Genomic DNA, 18,143 nt, shown 5'->3' with positions numbered 1-18,143 from the left:
TTATACTGATTCTTAACTACTAAACACTTTAAAACACTAGGTCAATATAGTGAGACTAGAGTGGAAAAATAGATGTCCATGCCTGTATGGAGATTATAGTCCAGAGGAAAGAGAGACAGTAAACAAATAATTATACCAATAAACATATAATTGCAGTGTGTGCCAAACCTATGACAGAAGAATAAAAAGAGATTATAGTAGGGGAACCTGAATTAAACTGGAGGTTTGAGAAATATTTTTCTGAAGAAGTGATACTTAAGCAGAGACTAGAAGGATAGAAAGGGAAGGGAATAGCATGTATGAAATTCTCAGGATGGGAGAGAACTTGACACATTTGAGAAACTGGAAGAAGGTTGATATGGTTGGAATACAGTGAACAGTAGGGGATGGAGGAAAGAGGCATAGAATGAGGATAGAGACTTAGGCAGGACTATGTCAAGGCTTTCGAATTTTTTTTTTTTTTTTTTTTGAGACAGGGTCTCTGTTCCCCAGGCTAGCATGCAGTGGTGTGATCACAGCTCACTGTAGTCTTGACCTTCTAGGCTCAAGGATCCTCCCACCTCGGCTTCCCAAGTAGCTGGGACTACAGGCACCCACCACCATGCCTAGGTAATTTTTGATTATTTGTAGAGACAAAGCCTCACTATGTTGCCTAGGCTGATCTCAAACTCCTGGACTCAAGAGCTCCTTCCCCACCTTGGCCTCTCATAGTGGTGAAATTACAGGCATGAACTACCACACCCAGCAAGGCTTTTGGATTTTTTTTTTTTTTTTTTTTTTTTGATGGAGTTTTGCTCTGTAGCCCAGGCTGGAGTGCAGTGGTGTGGTCTTGGCTCAGTGCGATTTCTGCCTCCTGGGTTCAAGCGATTCTCCTGCCTCAGCCTCCTGAGTAGCTGGCACTACAGGCACGTGCCACCACATGTGGGTAATTATTTATTTGTGTATTTATTTATGTATTTATTTATTTATTTTTTGAGAGGAAGTCTCGCACTGTCACCCAGGCAGGAGTGCAGTGGTGCGATCTCGGCTTGCTGCAAGCTCTGCCTCCGGGCTCACGTCATTCTCCTGCCTTAGCCTCCCAAGTAGCTGGGACTACAGGCGCCTACCACCACACCAGGCTAATTTTTTGTATTTTTAGTAGAGACGGGGTTTCATGTGTTAGCCAGGATGGTCTCGATCTCCTGACTTCGTGATCTGCCTGCCTTGGCCTCCCAAAGTGCTGGGATTACAGGTGTGAGCCACTGCGCCTGGCCTAATTTTTTCATTTTTAGTAGCGACAGGGTTTCACCATGTTGGCCAGGCTGGTCTTGAACTTCTGACCTCAGGTGATATACCTGCTTTGGCCTCCCAAAGTCCCGGGATTACAGGTGTGAGCCACCGTACCTGGCCAGCTTTTGGATTTTTATCCTGAGTATAATTAGAAGATTTTGAAGGTTTTAAGCATGAGTATCATGACCTTATATATGATTTTAAAACGTTACTCTGGGGCCGGGCGCGGTGGCTCATGCTTGTAATCCTAGCACTTTGGGAGGCTGAGGCGGGTGGATTGCTTGAGCTCAGGAGTTTGAGACCAGCATGGGTGACATGGTAAGATCCCATCTCTACAAAAAGTACAAAAAAATTAGCTGGGTGCGGTGGCTCACACCTGTGCTTACAGCTACTCAAGAGGCTAAGGTGGGAGGATCATCTGATCTGCGGAGGTTGAGACTGCAGTTAGCTTAAACCATGATACTGCACTCCAGGCCGGGTGACAGAGCAAGGCTCTGTCTCCAAAACAACAATAACAACAGCAACACCCCATTACTGTGGGTACATTGTGGGGAGGGGTTTGGAAAGAGAAGAAATCGGGGAAGTATGGTTAGGAAGTATTGCAGTGGTCCAGGCAAAAGGCGATGATGGTTTGGATTAGACTGTAGGCAGTGGAGATAGAAGTAGAAAGATTCAGTAGATATTTTAGAATTAGGACAGGCAAGACTTAATGGATTGGATGTGTGGGAAGAAGAAGGTGTCAAGTATGATTCCAGATTTTTGGCCTGAGCATCTGGGTAGATGAAGGTGGTGTTTCTGAGATGGAAACATTGGAGGAGGAGCAGATTTGGATTAGAGTTGGGGAGTGGAATGAAGACCTCAGTTTTAGTCATGCTAATTGTGAGATGCCTGTGAAAACATACAAGTGCAGATATCAAGTAAGTAGTCTTTAGGCTGATTCACAAAAGTAGCGCTGGAGAGAAATCTGGATGGTATTAGTATATAGATGGTATTTACAACCAAGGGAAATGGATGAGATCTCCTAGAGAACAAGTATAGAGTAGGAGGAGAAGACCACACTCCAAGGAATTCAAGAGAAAATGTAAGAGCTTGTTATTAGAGAAACCAACATAGGAACATATTTCAGGAAGGGAGTAATCACTGTACATTGTTGGATTTGTCAGCACAGAGATCATTGATGATTATAGCAAGAACAATATTGGAGGAAAGTAGGGCCAGAAGCTAAATTGAATTGGGTTTAAGGCATGGGAAGGGACGAAGTGGAGATGGTCTGTGTATTTTGATTATTGACATGTGTAGGCTGGGCGTGGTGACTCACGCCTGTAATCCCAGCACTTTGGGAGGCTGAGGCAGGTAGATCACATGAGGTCAGGAGTTCAAGACCAGCCTGGCCAACATGGCAAAACCCTGTCTCTACTAAAAATACTAAAGTTAGCCAGGCGTGGTGGTGCACACCTGTAATCCCAGCTCCTCAGGAGGCTGAGGCAGGAGAATCACTTGAACTGGGGAGGCGGGGGATATAGTGAGCTGATATCATGTCACTGCACTCCAGCCTGGGTGACAGAACAAGAATCCATCTCAAAACAAAACAAAACAAAACATGTCTGTTTCCTCATAAGAAGTATACTCTAAGACAGTAAGATCCGTGAAGATAGGAGCTGTACCTTTCCATTTTTTGTATTCTTGGCTGCTTAGCTTGGTATCTTGCCAGGATGTTGTATTAAGAGAGAAAAGGGTGAGGGTATGAAGATATTTGCAAAATGGTGAGAGTAATGATTCTCTGGCCTTTTTATGTTGGCCTTAAGGGTTTATCTACTTTTTATGTACTTACTTACTTAATTTATTTATTTATTGAGATGGAGTTTTGCTCTTGTTGCCCAGGCTGGAGTGCAATGGCGTGATCTCGGCTCACCACAACCTCTGCCTCCCGGGTTCAAGTGATTCTTCTGCCTCAGCCTCCCGAGTAGCTGGGATTACAGGCATGCACCACCACACACGGCTAATTTTGTATTTTTATTAGAGATGGGGTTTCTCCATGTTGGTCAGGCTGGTCTCGAACTCCTGACCTCAGGTGATACTCCTGCCTCAGCCTCCCAAAGTGCTGGGATTACAGGCGTGAGCCACCATGCCCGGCCCTTTTTATGTACTTTTAAAATTTGCTATGTTTAGCCTTTCTTTTTTCACCTCCCTACTGAATGGTTCTTTGTATTTTGGTATTACTGGCTTTTAAAGTTCATTCCTTATCTTTTTTTTTTTTTTTTTTTTATTGCTTTCTTGTGGTCATTGTTGCTATAGCTAATTAGCTGAGGTGCTTGGTTAACCTCTTTATTCATTCACTTGTTTATTGGCTCTTATTTCTATGTACTGAATGTATAATTGTGACAAAGCTCAAAGCTCTATACTTTTTTTTTTTTTTTTTTTTTTTTTTGAGACTGAGTCTCTCTGTCGCCCAGGCTGGAGTGCATGCAGTGGTGCAATCTCGGCTCACTGCAAGCTCCACCTCCCGGGTTCACACCATTCTCCTGCCTCAGCCTCCTGAGTAGCTGGGACTACAGACGCCCGCCACCATGCCTGGCTAATTTTTTCTATTTTTAGTAGAGAGGGTTTCACCGTGTTAGCCAGGATGGTCTCGATCTCCTGACCTCGTGATCCGCCCACCTCGGCCTCCCAAAGTGCTGGGATTACAGGCGTGAACCACTGTGCCCCGCCATTGTTTTCTATTAATAGTTTGTGATTTATATACTTTGCCCAGAGTCTAATTAGCCATATTTATATGATAATAATAAACATTTTGGCTACAGTCCTACCTAGATTTTTTTTTTTTTAGATGGAGTCTTGCTCTGTCGCCCAGGCTAGAGTGCAGTGGTGCGATCTTGGCTCACTGCAACTTCTGCCTCCCAGGTTCAAGCAACTCTGTTGCCTCAGCCTCCCAAGTAGCTGGGATTACAAGCGCACATGACCACGCCTGGCTAATTTTTGTATTTTTAGTGGAGACAGGGTTTCTCCATGTTGACCCAGCTGGTCTCGAACTCCTGAGCTCAGGTGATCCACCCGCCTCGGCTTCCTAAGGTGCTGGGATTACAGGTGTGAGCCACCACGTCCGGCCCTACCTGGAATTTTATATGGTAACTTTCCTGGGAAATGCTTATATGGACATTGTCCTTTTTAGTTCTCCTAGCATTCTTTTATTTGTTTATTTGAGACACACTTTCTTCCAGGCTAGACTACAGTGGTGATTGTAGTTCACTGTAGCCTTGAACTCAAGCTTTCCTCCTGCTTTAGCCTCCCAAGTAGCTGGATTACAGGTACAAACCACCACACTCAGCTTCTAGCGTTTTTGTTTTGTTTCGTTTTGTTTTTGAGATGGAGTTTTACTCTTGTTGCCCAGGCTGGAGTGCAGTGGTGCTATATCGGCTCACTGCAACCTCCTCCTCCTGGGTTCAAGTGATTCTCCTGCCTCAGCCTCCTGACTAGCTGGGATTATAGGCATGCACCACGATGCCCGGCACATTTTGTACTTTTAGTAGAGACAGGGTTTCTCCATATTGGTCAGGCTGGTCTCAAACTCCCGACCTCAGGTGATCTGCCCGCCTCGGCCTCCCAAAGTGCTGGCATTATAGGCATGAGCCACCGCGCCTGGCTGAATTTTTTTTCTTTTTTCTTTTTTTTTTAGAATAAGGATTTACTGAACTGAAATTCACTTCACGTAAATTTAGCCATCTTAAAATGAACAATTCAGTGGCATTTAAGTACATTCACAATGTTCTGCAACCTCTTTAGTTTCAAAACATTACCATCTCTGCAAAGTAAAACCCCTTACCAGTTAAGCAGTTTGTCCTTATTCTGCCCTTCCTCCAGCCCCTGATAACCATCAATCTGCATTCTGTCTCTGTGGATTGATTTATTCTGGATATTTCATGTAAATGGCATCATACAATATGTGATCTTTTGTGTCTGGCTTCTTTGACTTAGCGTAATGTTTTGGAGGTTTATTTATCTCCATTGGAATATTTATCAGTACTTCATACCTTTTCATGACTGAATAATATTCCATTGTGTGTATACATCACATTTGTTTATCCATTCATCCATTGAAGAACATTTGGGCTGTTTCTGCCTTCTGCTCTTGTGAATAGTGTTGCTTTGAACATGCATGTGCATTGGCTTATTTTCAGTTATTTTAGGAATATACCTAGGTAGGAATGGAATTGCAGGTCCTATGATAATATATTAATGATCTTCTGACATGTTAGAGATCAAAGCCAACATCTGCAGCTTCTCCAGAGTATGTGATTTCAGAGTTGTTGGCTGGGCTTAGATTGGGACTCAGAATCTCTTTCCTGTATGAAGAACTGAGTTCTAACATACTGGTTTTATTATTTGCATTTTACTGATGGGATAATTGAAGCACAGCATCTGCATGGTTTTAACTTCCTATCATCTTCAGAGCAAGTCAGTGATGGAATTAGGAATTTAAGACTCTTAATCATGTTCTTTGTCTAAGGTGACCCATATAAAGCCATGTTGCATTTACATGAAGCTATTTGAAATGGGCTTCCTATATTTTATAATCTCTTGGAGGGATATTGTTCAGGTGGTGTTAAGCAGATGTTCTCTTTCCATAGAGGACAGGACAAGAGGGAATGTGTTTTAATTGCAACATAAAGGATGTAGATTACATGTTAGAAAGAACTTCCTGACTACAAGATACTGAAATGTTGTTACCGAGGGATATTATGAAGTATCTTCTCCAAAGACTATCTTTCTGGGATCATTCAGGTGTGAGCTTGTTTAGAAATGAGGGAGGTGACAGAGATGACTTGCTGAGGTCCCTGATAACCCTGGGACATAATTGTTTGATGGTTAATCAAAGCAATATGTCTGGCTGGGCACAGTGACTCATGCCCATAATCCCAGGACTTTGGGAGTCTGAGGCGGGAGGATCTCTTGAGCCCAGGAGTTCGAGACCTGCCTTGGCAACATACGGAGACCCCGTCTACAAAACAACAGCAACACCAATGTCTCTGGCATTTTCATGAGTATATTTTCACTTTTCTCACAAAGCAGTAATCAATAGAGAGCAGGTGAATTGCTCAGGGTTCCTGGTAAAATACTAGATTAGTATTCTAAATCTTTTTGGATTTCACATCCATACTCAGGGATGTCTTCCTTATCTTAAATGACTCTTTTCTTAGCTGTGTAATCTACTGTTATGATTCTTCCTGAATCATAGTGATCAAAGCCAACATCTGCAGCTTCCATAGAGTGTGTGATTTGAGAGTTGACTGGGCTTAGATTGGGACCGGCAATCTCTTTCCTATAAAAATAGCTTTGGTCCCTGGTTATACATGAAGAAATGGGAACATGTTATTAATAATAGACCACGGCAATGGATTCTTAATTCTTTAGGCAAGAGCCAGTTTAAAATTGCTCAGGTGAGGGTGCACATGACATAGATGTATTTTTGGTTTGTGGTGCCTGGAAAAATAGAAGCCTGGCTGGGCACGGAGGCTCACGCCTATAATCCCAGCACTTTGGGATGCCGTGGCAGGCAGATCACGAGGTCAGGAGTTCGAGACCAGCCTGGCCAATATGGTGAAACCCCATCTCTACTAAAAATACAAAAATTAGTTGGGCGTGGTGGCGTGCACTTGTATTCCCAGCTGCTTGCGAGGCTGAGGCAGAAGAATTGCTTGAACCCAGGAGGCGGAGGTTGCAGTGAGCCGAGATCATACCATTGTACTCCAGCCTGGGTGACGGAGTGAGACTCTGTCTCAAAAAAAAAAAAAAAAAAAAAAGGAAAGAAAAAAACAAATTTCTGTTGTTTATAAGCTACCTAGTTTTTTTTTTTTTTAGACAGAGTTTTGCTCTTGTTGCCCAGGCTAGAGTGCAATGGTGCTCTCTCAGCTCACCACAACCTCCACCTTCCGGGTTCAAGCTATGCTCCTGCCTCAGACTCCTGAGTAGTTGGGATTACAGGCACGTGCCACCACGCTGGGATAATTTTGTGTTTTTAGTAGAGATGGGATTACACCATGTTGGTCAGGCCGATCTCGAACTCCTGACCTCAGGTGATACACCTGCCTCAGCCTCCCAAAGTGCCGGGATTACAGGTGTGAGCCATCATGCCTGAGTGGTTTTTGGTATTTTGTTAAAGCAGCCCAAAAGGACTAAGAGGGAGTTACTGATACCACTGGTACTTTTAATGAAGGATTTATTAGGTTTGTTTATGCTAGTTGAACTATGGGAGCATTTACTTGTTCACTTCTCTGCTGCCAAGAATATCTTCAGATATATTTATTGAGCTTTCTTGAATTGGCAACAACTATTAACACTGTAGATAAAGAGGAAGGAAACTAACTTTTGAATGTGAACCGTGTATAGGGAGTTTTACATTTATTCTTCCATGTAATATTTGTAACAAACCTGTAAAGGATGAGAGAAAGTGAAACATTGTTTGAAAAAGTGAAACATTGTTTTTTGTCAAAGGTTATACAGCTGGCAAATGGTAGAGCTGAGATGGAGAAAGCAGAGTCTTCAGTTTTAAACCAGTATTTTTCAAAGTATTCTTTGGAGGTGCCCAAGAGTTGGCCATGAGAGTAAGGATGAGCTTTAGTTCTCTCAACCTTGCTTAAGCCAGAGCAGCTCAACTTTGACCTGCTTTACATTTTGGTGTTTTCACATAAGATTTCCTTTAGAAAAAGGATTCTGCAAACTTTCGCAACCTACTCATCTGACAAAGGGCTAATATCCAGAATCTACAATGAACTCAAACAAATTTACAAGAAAAAAACAAACAACCCCATCAAAAAGTGGGCGAAGGACATGAACAGACACTTCTGAAAAGAAGACATTTATGCAGCCAAAAAACACATGAAAAAATGCTCATCATCACTGGCCATCAGAGGAATGCAAATCAAAACCACAATGAGATACCATCTCACACCAGTTAGAATGGCAATCATTAAAAAGTCAGGAAACAACAGGTGCTGGAGAGGATGTGGAGAAATAGGAACACTTTTACACTGTTGGTGGGACTGTAAACTAGTTCAACCATTGTGGAAGTCAGTGTGGCGATTCCTCAGGGATCTAGAACTAGAAATACCATTTCACCCAGCCATCCTATTACTGGGTATATACCCAAAGGACTATAAATCATGCTGCTATAAAGACACATGCACATGTATGTTTATTGCGGCACTATTCACAATAGCAAAGACTTGGAACCAACCCAAATGTCCAACAATGATAGACTGGATTAAGAAAATGTGGCACATATACACCACGGAATACTATGCAGCCATAAAAAATGATGAGTTCATGTCCTTTGTAGGGACATGGATGAAATTGGAAATCATCATTCTCAGTAAACTATCGCAAGAACAAAAAACCAAACACCGCATATTCTCACTCATAGGTGGGAATTGAACAATGAGATCACATGGACACAGGAAGGGGAATATCACACTCTGGGGACTGTGGTGGGGTGGGGGGAGGGGGAGGGATAGCATTGGGAGGTATACCTAATGCTAGATGATGAGTTAGTGGGTGCAGCGCACCAGCATGGCACATGTATACATATGTAACTAACCTGCACAATATGCACATGTACCCTAAAACTTAAAGTATAATAAAAAAAAAAAAAAAGAAAAAGGATTCTGCTTCTTTAAAAAGAGAAACCCTGGAAGACCACTCATTTGAGGAATCATAAAAGAAAATTAGCTAAACCAATCTAAAGATTGAAAAGATGGCTAAATTACATAACTGCCAGTCTGGAAATTATGTCAAAGTTTGAAGTGACTTGATAACACAGCCACATGTGCAGTGCAGTTATTCTGCCCTTAGGGAGTGTGGTACAGCAGGAAAAATGCATGGACTGAGTTTTTTTTTTTTTGTTTTGTTTTTCTGAGACAGAGTCTCACTCTGTCGCCCAGGCTGGAGTGTAGTGGCTTGATCTCGGCTCACTGCAACCTCTGCCCTCCGGGTTCCAGCGATTCTCTGCCTCAGCCTCCTGAGTAGCTGGGATTACAGGTGCGTGCCACCACACCTGGCTAATTTTTGTATTTTGAGTAGAGACAGAGTTTCACCATGTTGGCGAGGCTGGTCTTGAACTCCTGACCTCAGGTGATCAGCCCACCTCAGTCTCCCAAAGTGCTAGGATTACAGGCATGAGCCACCATGCCTGGCCAGAATCCTTTTTTTTTTTTTTGAGACAGAGTTTTGCTCTTGTTGCCCAGGCTAGAGTGCAATGGCGCGATCTTGGCTCAGTCCAACCTCCACCTCCCAGGTTCAAGCGATTCGCCTGCCTCAGCCTCCTGCAGCCTCCCGAGTAGCTGGGATTACAGGCGTCCACCACCACACCCGGCTAATTTTTTTTATTTTTAGTAGAGACGGAGTTTCACCAGGTTGGGCAGGCTGGTCTTGAACTCCTGATCTCAGGTGATCCACTTCAGCCTCCCAAAGTGCTGTGATTACAGGCGTGAGCCACCATACCCAGCTCAGAATACTTATTTTTAAATCTGGTGACCACAAATGTACAGTGGGGGGATGATAACACCTACCTTTCAAGAGTTGTTGTAAGGATCAGAAATAACATGTAAAGTGCCTGGTTCAGAGTAAACACCCCAAAATACTAGCTGATTGTCAAGATGATGATGATAATGCTGACAATTTTTCAGTGGGTATTGACAGTTCCCTCCAATGCCTAAGAGCTTCTGCCATATCAAAGATAGGCAGTTCTTTACCTACTGTATGCACCTCATGGTGGGTGCTTAGTGTGCTCGTTTTTGATGAAGTTCGTTTTTAAACTGCTATGATTATTTACTCATGGATGTATCTATGATTGATTAAATGAGAAAACTTGGACTTCATTAAATTTATTGTTACTGGATTTAAAGCAGCAGCAGTGCAAAGAAACCCTATACAGTGAGTTAAGAGCCCTGGGTTTATGTCTAGAGATGCCCTTAGTGAGTCTTATAACAATGGACAAGTGAATCTAACTTTTTTTTTTTGAGATGGAATCTCGCTCTATCACCAGGCTGGAGTGCAGTTGCACGATCTCTGCTCCCTGCAACCTCCGCCTCCCGGGTTTAAGCGATTCTCCTGCCTTAGCCTCCCGAGTAGCTGGGATTACAGGCTGGCGCCACCACGCCCAGCAAATTTTTGTATTTTCGGTAGAGACGGCATTTCATCATGTTGGCCAGGATGGTCTCGATCTCTTGACCTTGTGATCCACCCACCTCGGCCTCGCAAAGTCCTGGGATTATAGGCGTGAGCTACCACGCCTGGCTGTGAATCTAACTTTTTAAGATATTGATTGATTGGGCAGGGCGCAGTGGCTTAAGCCTGTAATCTCAGCACTTTGGGAGGCTGAGGCAGGCGGATCACGAGGTCAGGAGTTCAAGACCAGCCTGACCAACATGGTGAAACCCTGTCTCTACTAAAAACACAAAAATTAGCTGGGCGTGGTGGTGCGCTCCTGTAGTCCCAGCTACTCAGGAGGCTGAGGCAGGAGAATCTCTTGAACCTGGGAGGTGGAGGTTGCATTGAGCTGAGATCACGCCACTGCACTCCAGCCTGGGGCGACAGAGGGACACTTTGTCTCAAAAAAAAAAAAAAAAAAAGATTGATTGATTGAGACACGGACTCATTCTGTCACCTAGGCTAGAGTGCAGTGACACAAACCATGGCTTACTGCAGCCTTGACCTTCCAGGCTAAAGTGGTCTTCCTGCCTCAGCCTCCTGAGTAGCTGGGACTACAGGTATGTGCCACCATGGCTGGCTAATTTTTGTATTTTTTGTAGAGATGGGGTTTTGCCAGATTGCCCAGGCTGGTCTCGGACTTTAGGGCTCAAACACTCCTTCTGCTTTGCCTCCCAAACCACTGGGATTACAGAAGTGAACCACTGTAATATGGCTACTTTTCAAGATTTTATGTTCAAAATGATCCCTAAGTCACTTTTAACTCTGTATATCCATGATTTGACAAAAAAGTTAAAGATACTTTATTTTCATTGCTAGAATTTCTAAAAATTACAGGGTTATTTTTGGAGAAGGAGCTTTGTGCTGACTTGAGCTGGCAAACTTCTGTCATACTTACTGAGTGATTTGTATAGAAGAACACTGGGGACCTTTTGCCCAGGCATAAGAATTGGTATTTGTCATTTATAGAATATCAGCGGAATTGAAGCCAGAACCATTGTAAGGAGGCAAATGTGAGAGATTATCTGTTGCTTTTGGGAAGATAGCTGGAGTTTTCAAACCATGCCACTTTGTACTTCCTTGAGGGTAACACTTGCCACATTTCAGTACAGTGGTTATGGTTACAGTATATTGCAGTTGTAGTCTCCCCACAAGCTCTCAGAGGTTAGAGGCCTTTTTTGTTCATTTATTTTTTTTCCAGTTCTCTATCCCTTTCTTGGAGTAGGGCTTGCTGCATCGTGTAGTCTTCCAAAAGTATGCTAAATGGACAAAAATAGTTGAACCAAGATCAGCAGATGTATTTAGAAAATGACTTGTGCCTACATGCTTGTTAACTGTCTTGAATTTTTTCTGTTGTCATGTGTTAATATAGAAAAACCTGATAAAGGGAAAAAACCCAGTGTTGTATCATTAACCTACAGTTTATCTCTTACTGGCTTAAAAAAAAATATTAACAGCAATCAAATTACTGTTCAATGGGGGGGCAAGTAACATCACGTTGAGCTAGGGTTTTGTCTGTAAAATGGGAGTGGAGTGGGAGGAGACTTTAGAGATGGGGTATATAAGGCATTGGCACTTAATAGTGGTCATACCTCGTATTACAAATGAATGTTTTTAAAATGATCAGCAATATACTTCACATTTCTACCTGAAGAAGGAATGTAATTTTGGAGAAGCTTATACATGGGAGAATTATCTCCACTTGTCATTTTCTGCTGAAAAGATATAATTTCGTACTTCTCCCTCTGGGCCCACAGGATAGTTCCATGGAGGAGACTTAGAGTGGGGATGGGCTCCTAGAGTAGCTGCAGAAGACCTTGCTTTTTTTTTTTTTTTTTTTTTTTTTTTGAGACATGGTCTCACTGTGTTGCCCAGGCTGGAGTTCAATGGTGCGATCTCTGCTCACTGCAACCTCTGGCTCCCAGGTTCAAGCGATTCTTCTGCCTCAGCCTCCCAAGTAGCTGGGATTACAGGCATGCACCACCATGCCCAGCTATTTTTTTATATTTTTAGTAGCGACAGGATTTCACCATGTTGGCCAGGCTGGTCTTGAACTCCTGACCTCAGGTGATCCCCTGCTTTGGCCTCCCAAAGTGCTGGGATTACAGGCGTGAGCCACCGTGCCTGGCCTTTATTATTTATTTATTTTGAGACGAAGTCTCACTCTGTCACCCAGGCTGGAGTGCAGTGGTGCGATCTTGGCTCACTGCAACCTCCGCCTTCTGGGTTCAAGTGATTCTCCTGCCTCAGCCTCCTGAGTAGCTGGGATTACCTGTGCATACCAACACACCTGGCTAATTTTGTATTTTTAGTAGAGATGGGATTTCTCTCATGACCAGCCATGTTGGCTGGTCATTTCTCAACATGACTAGCCATGTTGGCCAGGCTGGTCTCGAACTGCTGACCTCAAGTGATACACCCACCTTAGCCTCCCAAAGTGCCGGGATTACAAATATCCATGAGCCACTATGCTCAGGCAGACCTTGCATTTTTGCAGATCTCTTTGGAATGCTATTTCTATAGTACACAGACTCTACTCTCACTGAATATGGCTAACTCAGCTATCCTACATTAGCATGGTAAACATCTGCTAGGTTTGCCCCAGTCAGAAAGTATTCTGTACCTGCCATCTTGCTTGGCACTTTATATATATATATATATATATATATTTTTTTTTTTTTAATCTCTCAGTGATATAGTGATAATAGGTGAAAAAGGTAGGCTGCAGGGTAATGTGTGTTATATATGATCCCATTTTGGTACAGGAAACAAAAACTATTATATGCATACATGTTTGTATGAACTATGAGTTTATAAGGTTATCTCAAGAGGGTAGGGTTGGAGGGTTACTTTTTTTTTTTTTTTTTTTGAGATTCCCTCTTGTCGCCCAGGCTAGAGTGTGGTATATATAATCCCATTTTGATTCAGGAAGCAAAACCTATTATATGCATACATGTTTGTATGAAGTATGAGTTTATAAGGTTATCTCAAGAAGGTAGGGTCGGCTGGGCATGGTGGCTCACAACTATAATCCTAGCACTTTGGGAGGCCAAGGCAGGTGGATCGCCTGAGGTTAAGAGTTCAAGACCAGCCTGGCCAACATGGCAAAACCCTGTCTCTACTAAAAATACAAAAATTAGCTGGTCTTGGTCGCACATGCCTGTAGTCTCAGCAACTTGGGAGACTGAGGCAGGAGAATCGATTGAACCTGGGAGGCGGAGGTTGCAGTGAGCTGAGATGGCGCCACTGCTCTCCAGCCTGGGCAACAGAACAAGACTGTCTCAAAAAAAAAAAAAAAAAAAAAAAGGTAGGGTTGAGGGTTCCTTTTTTTTTTTTTGAGATGGAGTTTTGCTCTTGTTGCCCAAGCTGGAGTGCAATGGTGAGGTCTCGGCTCACTGCAATCTCTGCCTCCCAGGTTGAAGCGATTCTCTTGCCTCAGCCTCCTGAGTAGCTGGGATTACAGGCATGTGCCACCACGCCCGGCTTATTTTATATCTTTTTAGTAGAGATGGGGTGTCTCTGTTGGTCAGGCTGGTCTCAAACTCCTGACCTCAGGTGATCCACCCACCTTGGCCTCCCAAAGTGGTGGGATTACAGGCATGAGCTGTTGCACCTGGCCACTTTTTTTTTGTTTTTTGTTTTTTGTTTTTTGTTTTTGAGTTTCTCTCTTGTCACCCAAGCTGGAGTGCAATGGCATGATCTCAGCTCACTGCAACCTCTGCCTCCTGGGTTCAAGCAATTCTTCTCCCTCAGCCTTCTGAGTAGCTGGAATTACAGGCGCCTGCCACCACTCCCGGCTAATTTTTGTATTTTTAGTAGAGACGGGGTTTCACCACGTTGGCCAGGCTGGTCTTGCACTCTTGACCTCAGGAGATCTTCCTGCCTCGGCCACCCAGAGTGCTGGGATTACAGGTGTGTGCCACTGCGGCATCCAGCTGGATTTTATTTTATTTTATTTTTTTAAGACAGAGTCTCACTCTGTCTCCCAGGCTGGAGTGCAGCGGCAGGATCTCAGCTTACTGCAACCTCCACCTCCAGGGCTCAAGTGATTCTTGTGCCTCAGCCTGCCAAGTATCTGGAATTACAGGCATGTGCCACCACACCTGGGTAATTTTTGTATTTTTAGTAGAGATGGGGTTTCACCAGGTTGGCCAGGCTGGTTTCAGACCCCTGATGTCAAGTGATCCGCCTGCCTCGGCCTCTCAAATGCTGGGATTACAGGTGTGAGCCACCGCGCCCAGCCCCAGCTAGGTTTTTCAAGTATAGTTTGGCACACGGCAGGCTAGGGAATGGGTGCTGCTGATTGGTTTGGGGTTGCAATCATAGGCACATGTGAAATGGTCCTTATGTACTGAGTCTGCTTCTGGCTAGGGGCTACAGAGGAATCGCTGGTTGGGGTGGGGTCATCTTGTCATCAGAAGTGCAAAAGTCTGAAAAGACATCTTAAAAGGCTGGGCACGGTGGCTCACGCCTGTAATCCCAGCACTTTGGGAGGCTGAGGCGGGCGAATCACTTGAGGCCAGGAGTTCGAGACCGGCTTGGCCAACATGGCGAAACCCCATCTCTACTAAAAATATGAAAATTAATGTGGTGGTGCCTGCATGTACTCCCAGCTATTTGAAAGGTTGAGCCAGAGGACTGCTTGAACTCGGGTGGTGGAGAATGCATTGAGCCAAGATGGCGCCACTGCACTCCCACCTGGGAGACAGAGCAAGACTCTGTCTCAAAAAATAAATAAGGCCGTGCTTGGTGGCTCATGCCTGTAATCCCAGCACTTTGGGAGGCTGAGGTGGGTGGATCTCCAGAGGTCAGGAGTTCGAGACCAGTCTGGCCAAAATGGTGAAACCACGTTTCTACTAAAAATACAAAAATTAACTGGGTGTTGTGGTGTGCACCTGTAATTCCAGCTGCTCGGGAGGCTGAGGCATGAGAATAGCTTGAATCCGGAAAGCGGAGGCTGCAGTAAGTCGAGATGGGACCACTGCACTCCAGTCTGGGCTACAGAGCAAGACTCTGTCTCAAACAAACAAACAAACAAACAAACACTACTTAATATGCTTACATTTTTATTTATTTTAATTTTATTTATTTTCTTGAGACAGGGCTCACTCTGTTGCCCATGCCAGAGTGCAGTGGTGCGATCTCTGATCACTGCACCCTCCGCCTCCTGGGTTCATATTCTTACATTTTAGCAGAGTTCAGGCCCCTCTCATAATCCTAAACTTGGGGCCTTTTATTAGTTTTACAATGGCGGTTTAGTTTTAAGAAGGGCTATTATCATTTAAACTGTAAACTAAATTTCTCCCAAAGTTAGCTTGTCCTACGCACAGGAATGACCAAGGGCAGTTAAAGGCAAGATGGATTGGTTAGGTCAGATCTTTTTCACTGTCATGCTTTTCTTACTGTTACAATTTTTGCAAAGGGAGTTTCACAGTGGATAAAGTTGCAATGAAGCTTTGCCCAGAAGATCCAGGGAGAATGCCTTCAGGGGTTAGGTAGCTCAATCCTCACCCCCCGGGTCCCGTCTGTAATCTTTCAACCATTAATGTCTCTCTTTGTCATTTTAAGAATGTTGTATAAATGGAATTATATAGAATGTAACCATTTGGATTGGCCTTTTTCACTCAGCATAATTCTCTTGAGATTCATCCAAGTTATATTATCAATAGCTCCACTCTTTTTTTTTTTTCTTGAGATGTAGTCTCGCTGTGTCACCCAGGCTGGAGTGCCGTGGCTCAATCTCGGCTCACTGCAACCTCTGCCTCCTGGGTTCAAGCGATTCTCCTGCCTCAGCCGCCCCGGTAGCTGGGACTACAGGTGCCCGCCACCATGGCCAGCTAGTTTTTGTATTTTTAGTAGAGACGGGTTTCACCGTGTTGGGCAGACCAGTCTCGAACTCCTGACCTCAGGTGATCCACCCTCCTCAGCCTCCCAGAGTGCTGGGATTAAAGGTGTGAGCTAGCGCCCTGACCAATTCCACTCTTTTTAATTGCTACACAGTATTTCATGGTTTGGATGTACTGTAGTTTGTTTAATCCTTTACCCATTGAAAGACATCTGGCTGGGCATGGTGGCTCACACCTGTGTTCCCAGCACTTTGGGAGGCTGAGGCTGGCAGATTGCTTTGAGACCAGCCTGGGCAATCTGTCTTTACGAAAAATACAAAAAAAATTAGCCGATGTGATGGCACACACCTGTGGGCGCAGCTACTTGGGTGGCTGAGGTGGGAGGATCACTTGAGCCTGGGAGGTGGAGGGTGCAGTGAGCAAAGATTGGTCATGCTACCCACTCCAGCCTGGGCGACAGAGGGAGACCCCTTCTGAAAAAAAAAATCTGAATTTTTATAAATTTTTTGGCTACTATGAATAAAACTGCTGTTAACATTTTTATACACGTTTTTTTTTGAGACATGATCTGGCTCTGAGCCCAGGTTGGAGTATGGTGGCGTGATCTCAGTTCATTGCAACCTCCGCCTCTCAGGCTGAAGTGATCCTGCCACCTCTGCCTCCTAAGTAACTGGGACCGCAGGTACATGCCACCACACCCGGCTAATTTTTTTGGTTTATGTAGAGACAGGGTTTTGCCATGTTGCCCAGGCTGGTCTTGAACTCTTGGGCTCAAGCAATCTGCCCACCTCACCTTCCCAAAGTGCTGGGATTATAGGTGTGAGCCACTGCACCCAGCTGATAACAAGTTTTTGTCTGAACATAAGTTATCATTTTTCTGGATAAATGCCCAAGCATGCAGTTGCTGATTCATGTGATGTATATTGATTTTTTTAATTTAAAAAAAAAGGAAAACAGAAGTAAAATGACAAATTATGTGGTTCTTTTTCCTTTTCGTTTTTTTTTTAGAGGGAATTTTTCTCTGTCTCCCAGGCTTGGAGTGCAATGGCATAATCTCGGCTCATTGCAACCTTCGCCTCCTGGGCTCAAGTGATTTCTCCCACCTCAGCCTCCTGAGTAACTGGAACTACAGGCGAATGCCACCATGCCCAGCTAATTTTTATATTTTTTTGTAGAGATGAGGTTTTGCCATGATGCCCAGGCTGGTCTCGAACCTTGGACTCAAGTGATCTTCAAGCCTTGGCCTCCTAAAGTGGTGGGATTACAGGCATGAGCCTTTGCACCTGGCCATGATTTATTTGTAGAGTACTCACACTCTACATTCTTGGTGCACATAACTTATTTACCGTGATTTCTGGTGCTTTGCTGTAGATATCGAAGAAATAATAATGTATAGTTTTCCTTGTCTCATCTGATGATCTGTGTATATATTACAAATACTAATTAATATTCATAGCCCACTAGGAGGCAAATAATAGTTAACCTCCAGTGAGGTTCGCTCCTTCTTTAGATAGATAGGTTGAGGCATGGATATTATAGAATTTGTCCAAGGTTATAGCATGAGTCACTGTGTTCTGACTCAGATTCATTCAGATTTACTAATTCTTTCTCCCTCTCCTCATCTCTTGAATCAGCTCTTTCTAATTATGACTTTCTAGGTGTGAGGACATGAAGAGAGCTTTTTTTTTTCTTTTTCTGTATTTTATAGAAGCAGTATTGTATAATGGTTAGAGCACTATACAATACTGCTCATTTGGCAACAGATTTGATTTTGAATCTCTCCTTCACTTAGGTAAATCATTTAGCCTCTTTATGCCTGGTTTTCTG

General features: G+C 43.8%; 1 protein-coding gene across 10 annotated transcripts in view, besides 2 other annotated features; it reads left to right on the top strand.

Annotated features, from left to right (window-relative positions):
* The window catches only part of AMBRA1 (autophagy and beclin 1 regulator 1), a 197,612-nt gene that overhangs the window by 11,444 nt on the left and 168,025 nt on the right, over positions 1-18,143 (top strand). The window lies entirely within an intron of this gene.
* Positions 11,553-11,682: an enhancer, noted in NCBI's record as "active region_4681". NCBI's record gives its function as "activates an Ori minimal core promoter by ATAC-STARR-seq in GM12878 lymphoblastoid cells {active_cell/tissue: GM12878}" and the evidence as "EXISTENCE:reporter gene assay evidence [ECO:0000049][PMID:35858748]".
* Positions 15,837-16,337: an enhancer, noted in NCBI's record as "H3K4me1 hESC enhancer chr11:46587793-46588293 (GRCh37/hg19 assembly coordinates)". NCBI's record gives its function as "activates a minimal SCP1, AML or CMV promoter by ChIP-STARR-seq in naive H9 embryonic stem cells {active_cell/tissue: H9 hESC(naive)}" and the evidence as "EXISTENCE:reporter gene assay evidence [ECO:0000049][PMID:30033119]".

Source organism: Homo sapiens, chromosome 11 (genome assembly GCF_000001405.40).
Source record: "Homo sapiens chromosome 11, GRCh38.p14 Primary Assembly".
In the NCBI taxonomy this organism is placed as follows: domain Eukaryota; kingdom Metazoa; phylum Chordata; class Mammalia; order Primates; family Hominidae; genus Homo; species Homo sapiens.
The sequence above is the reverse complement of the archived record's forward strand: the minus strand, read 5'-3'. Positions and strand labels throughout refer to the sequence as shown.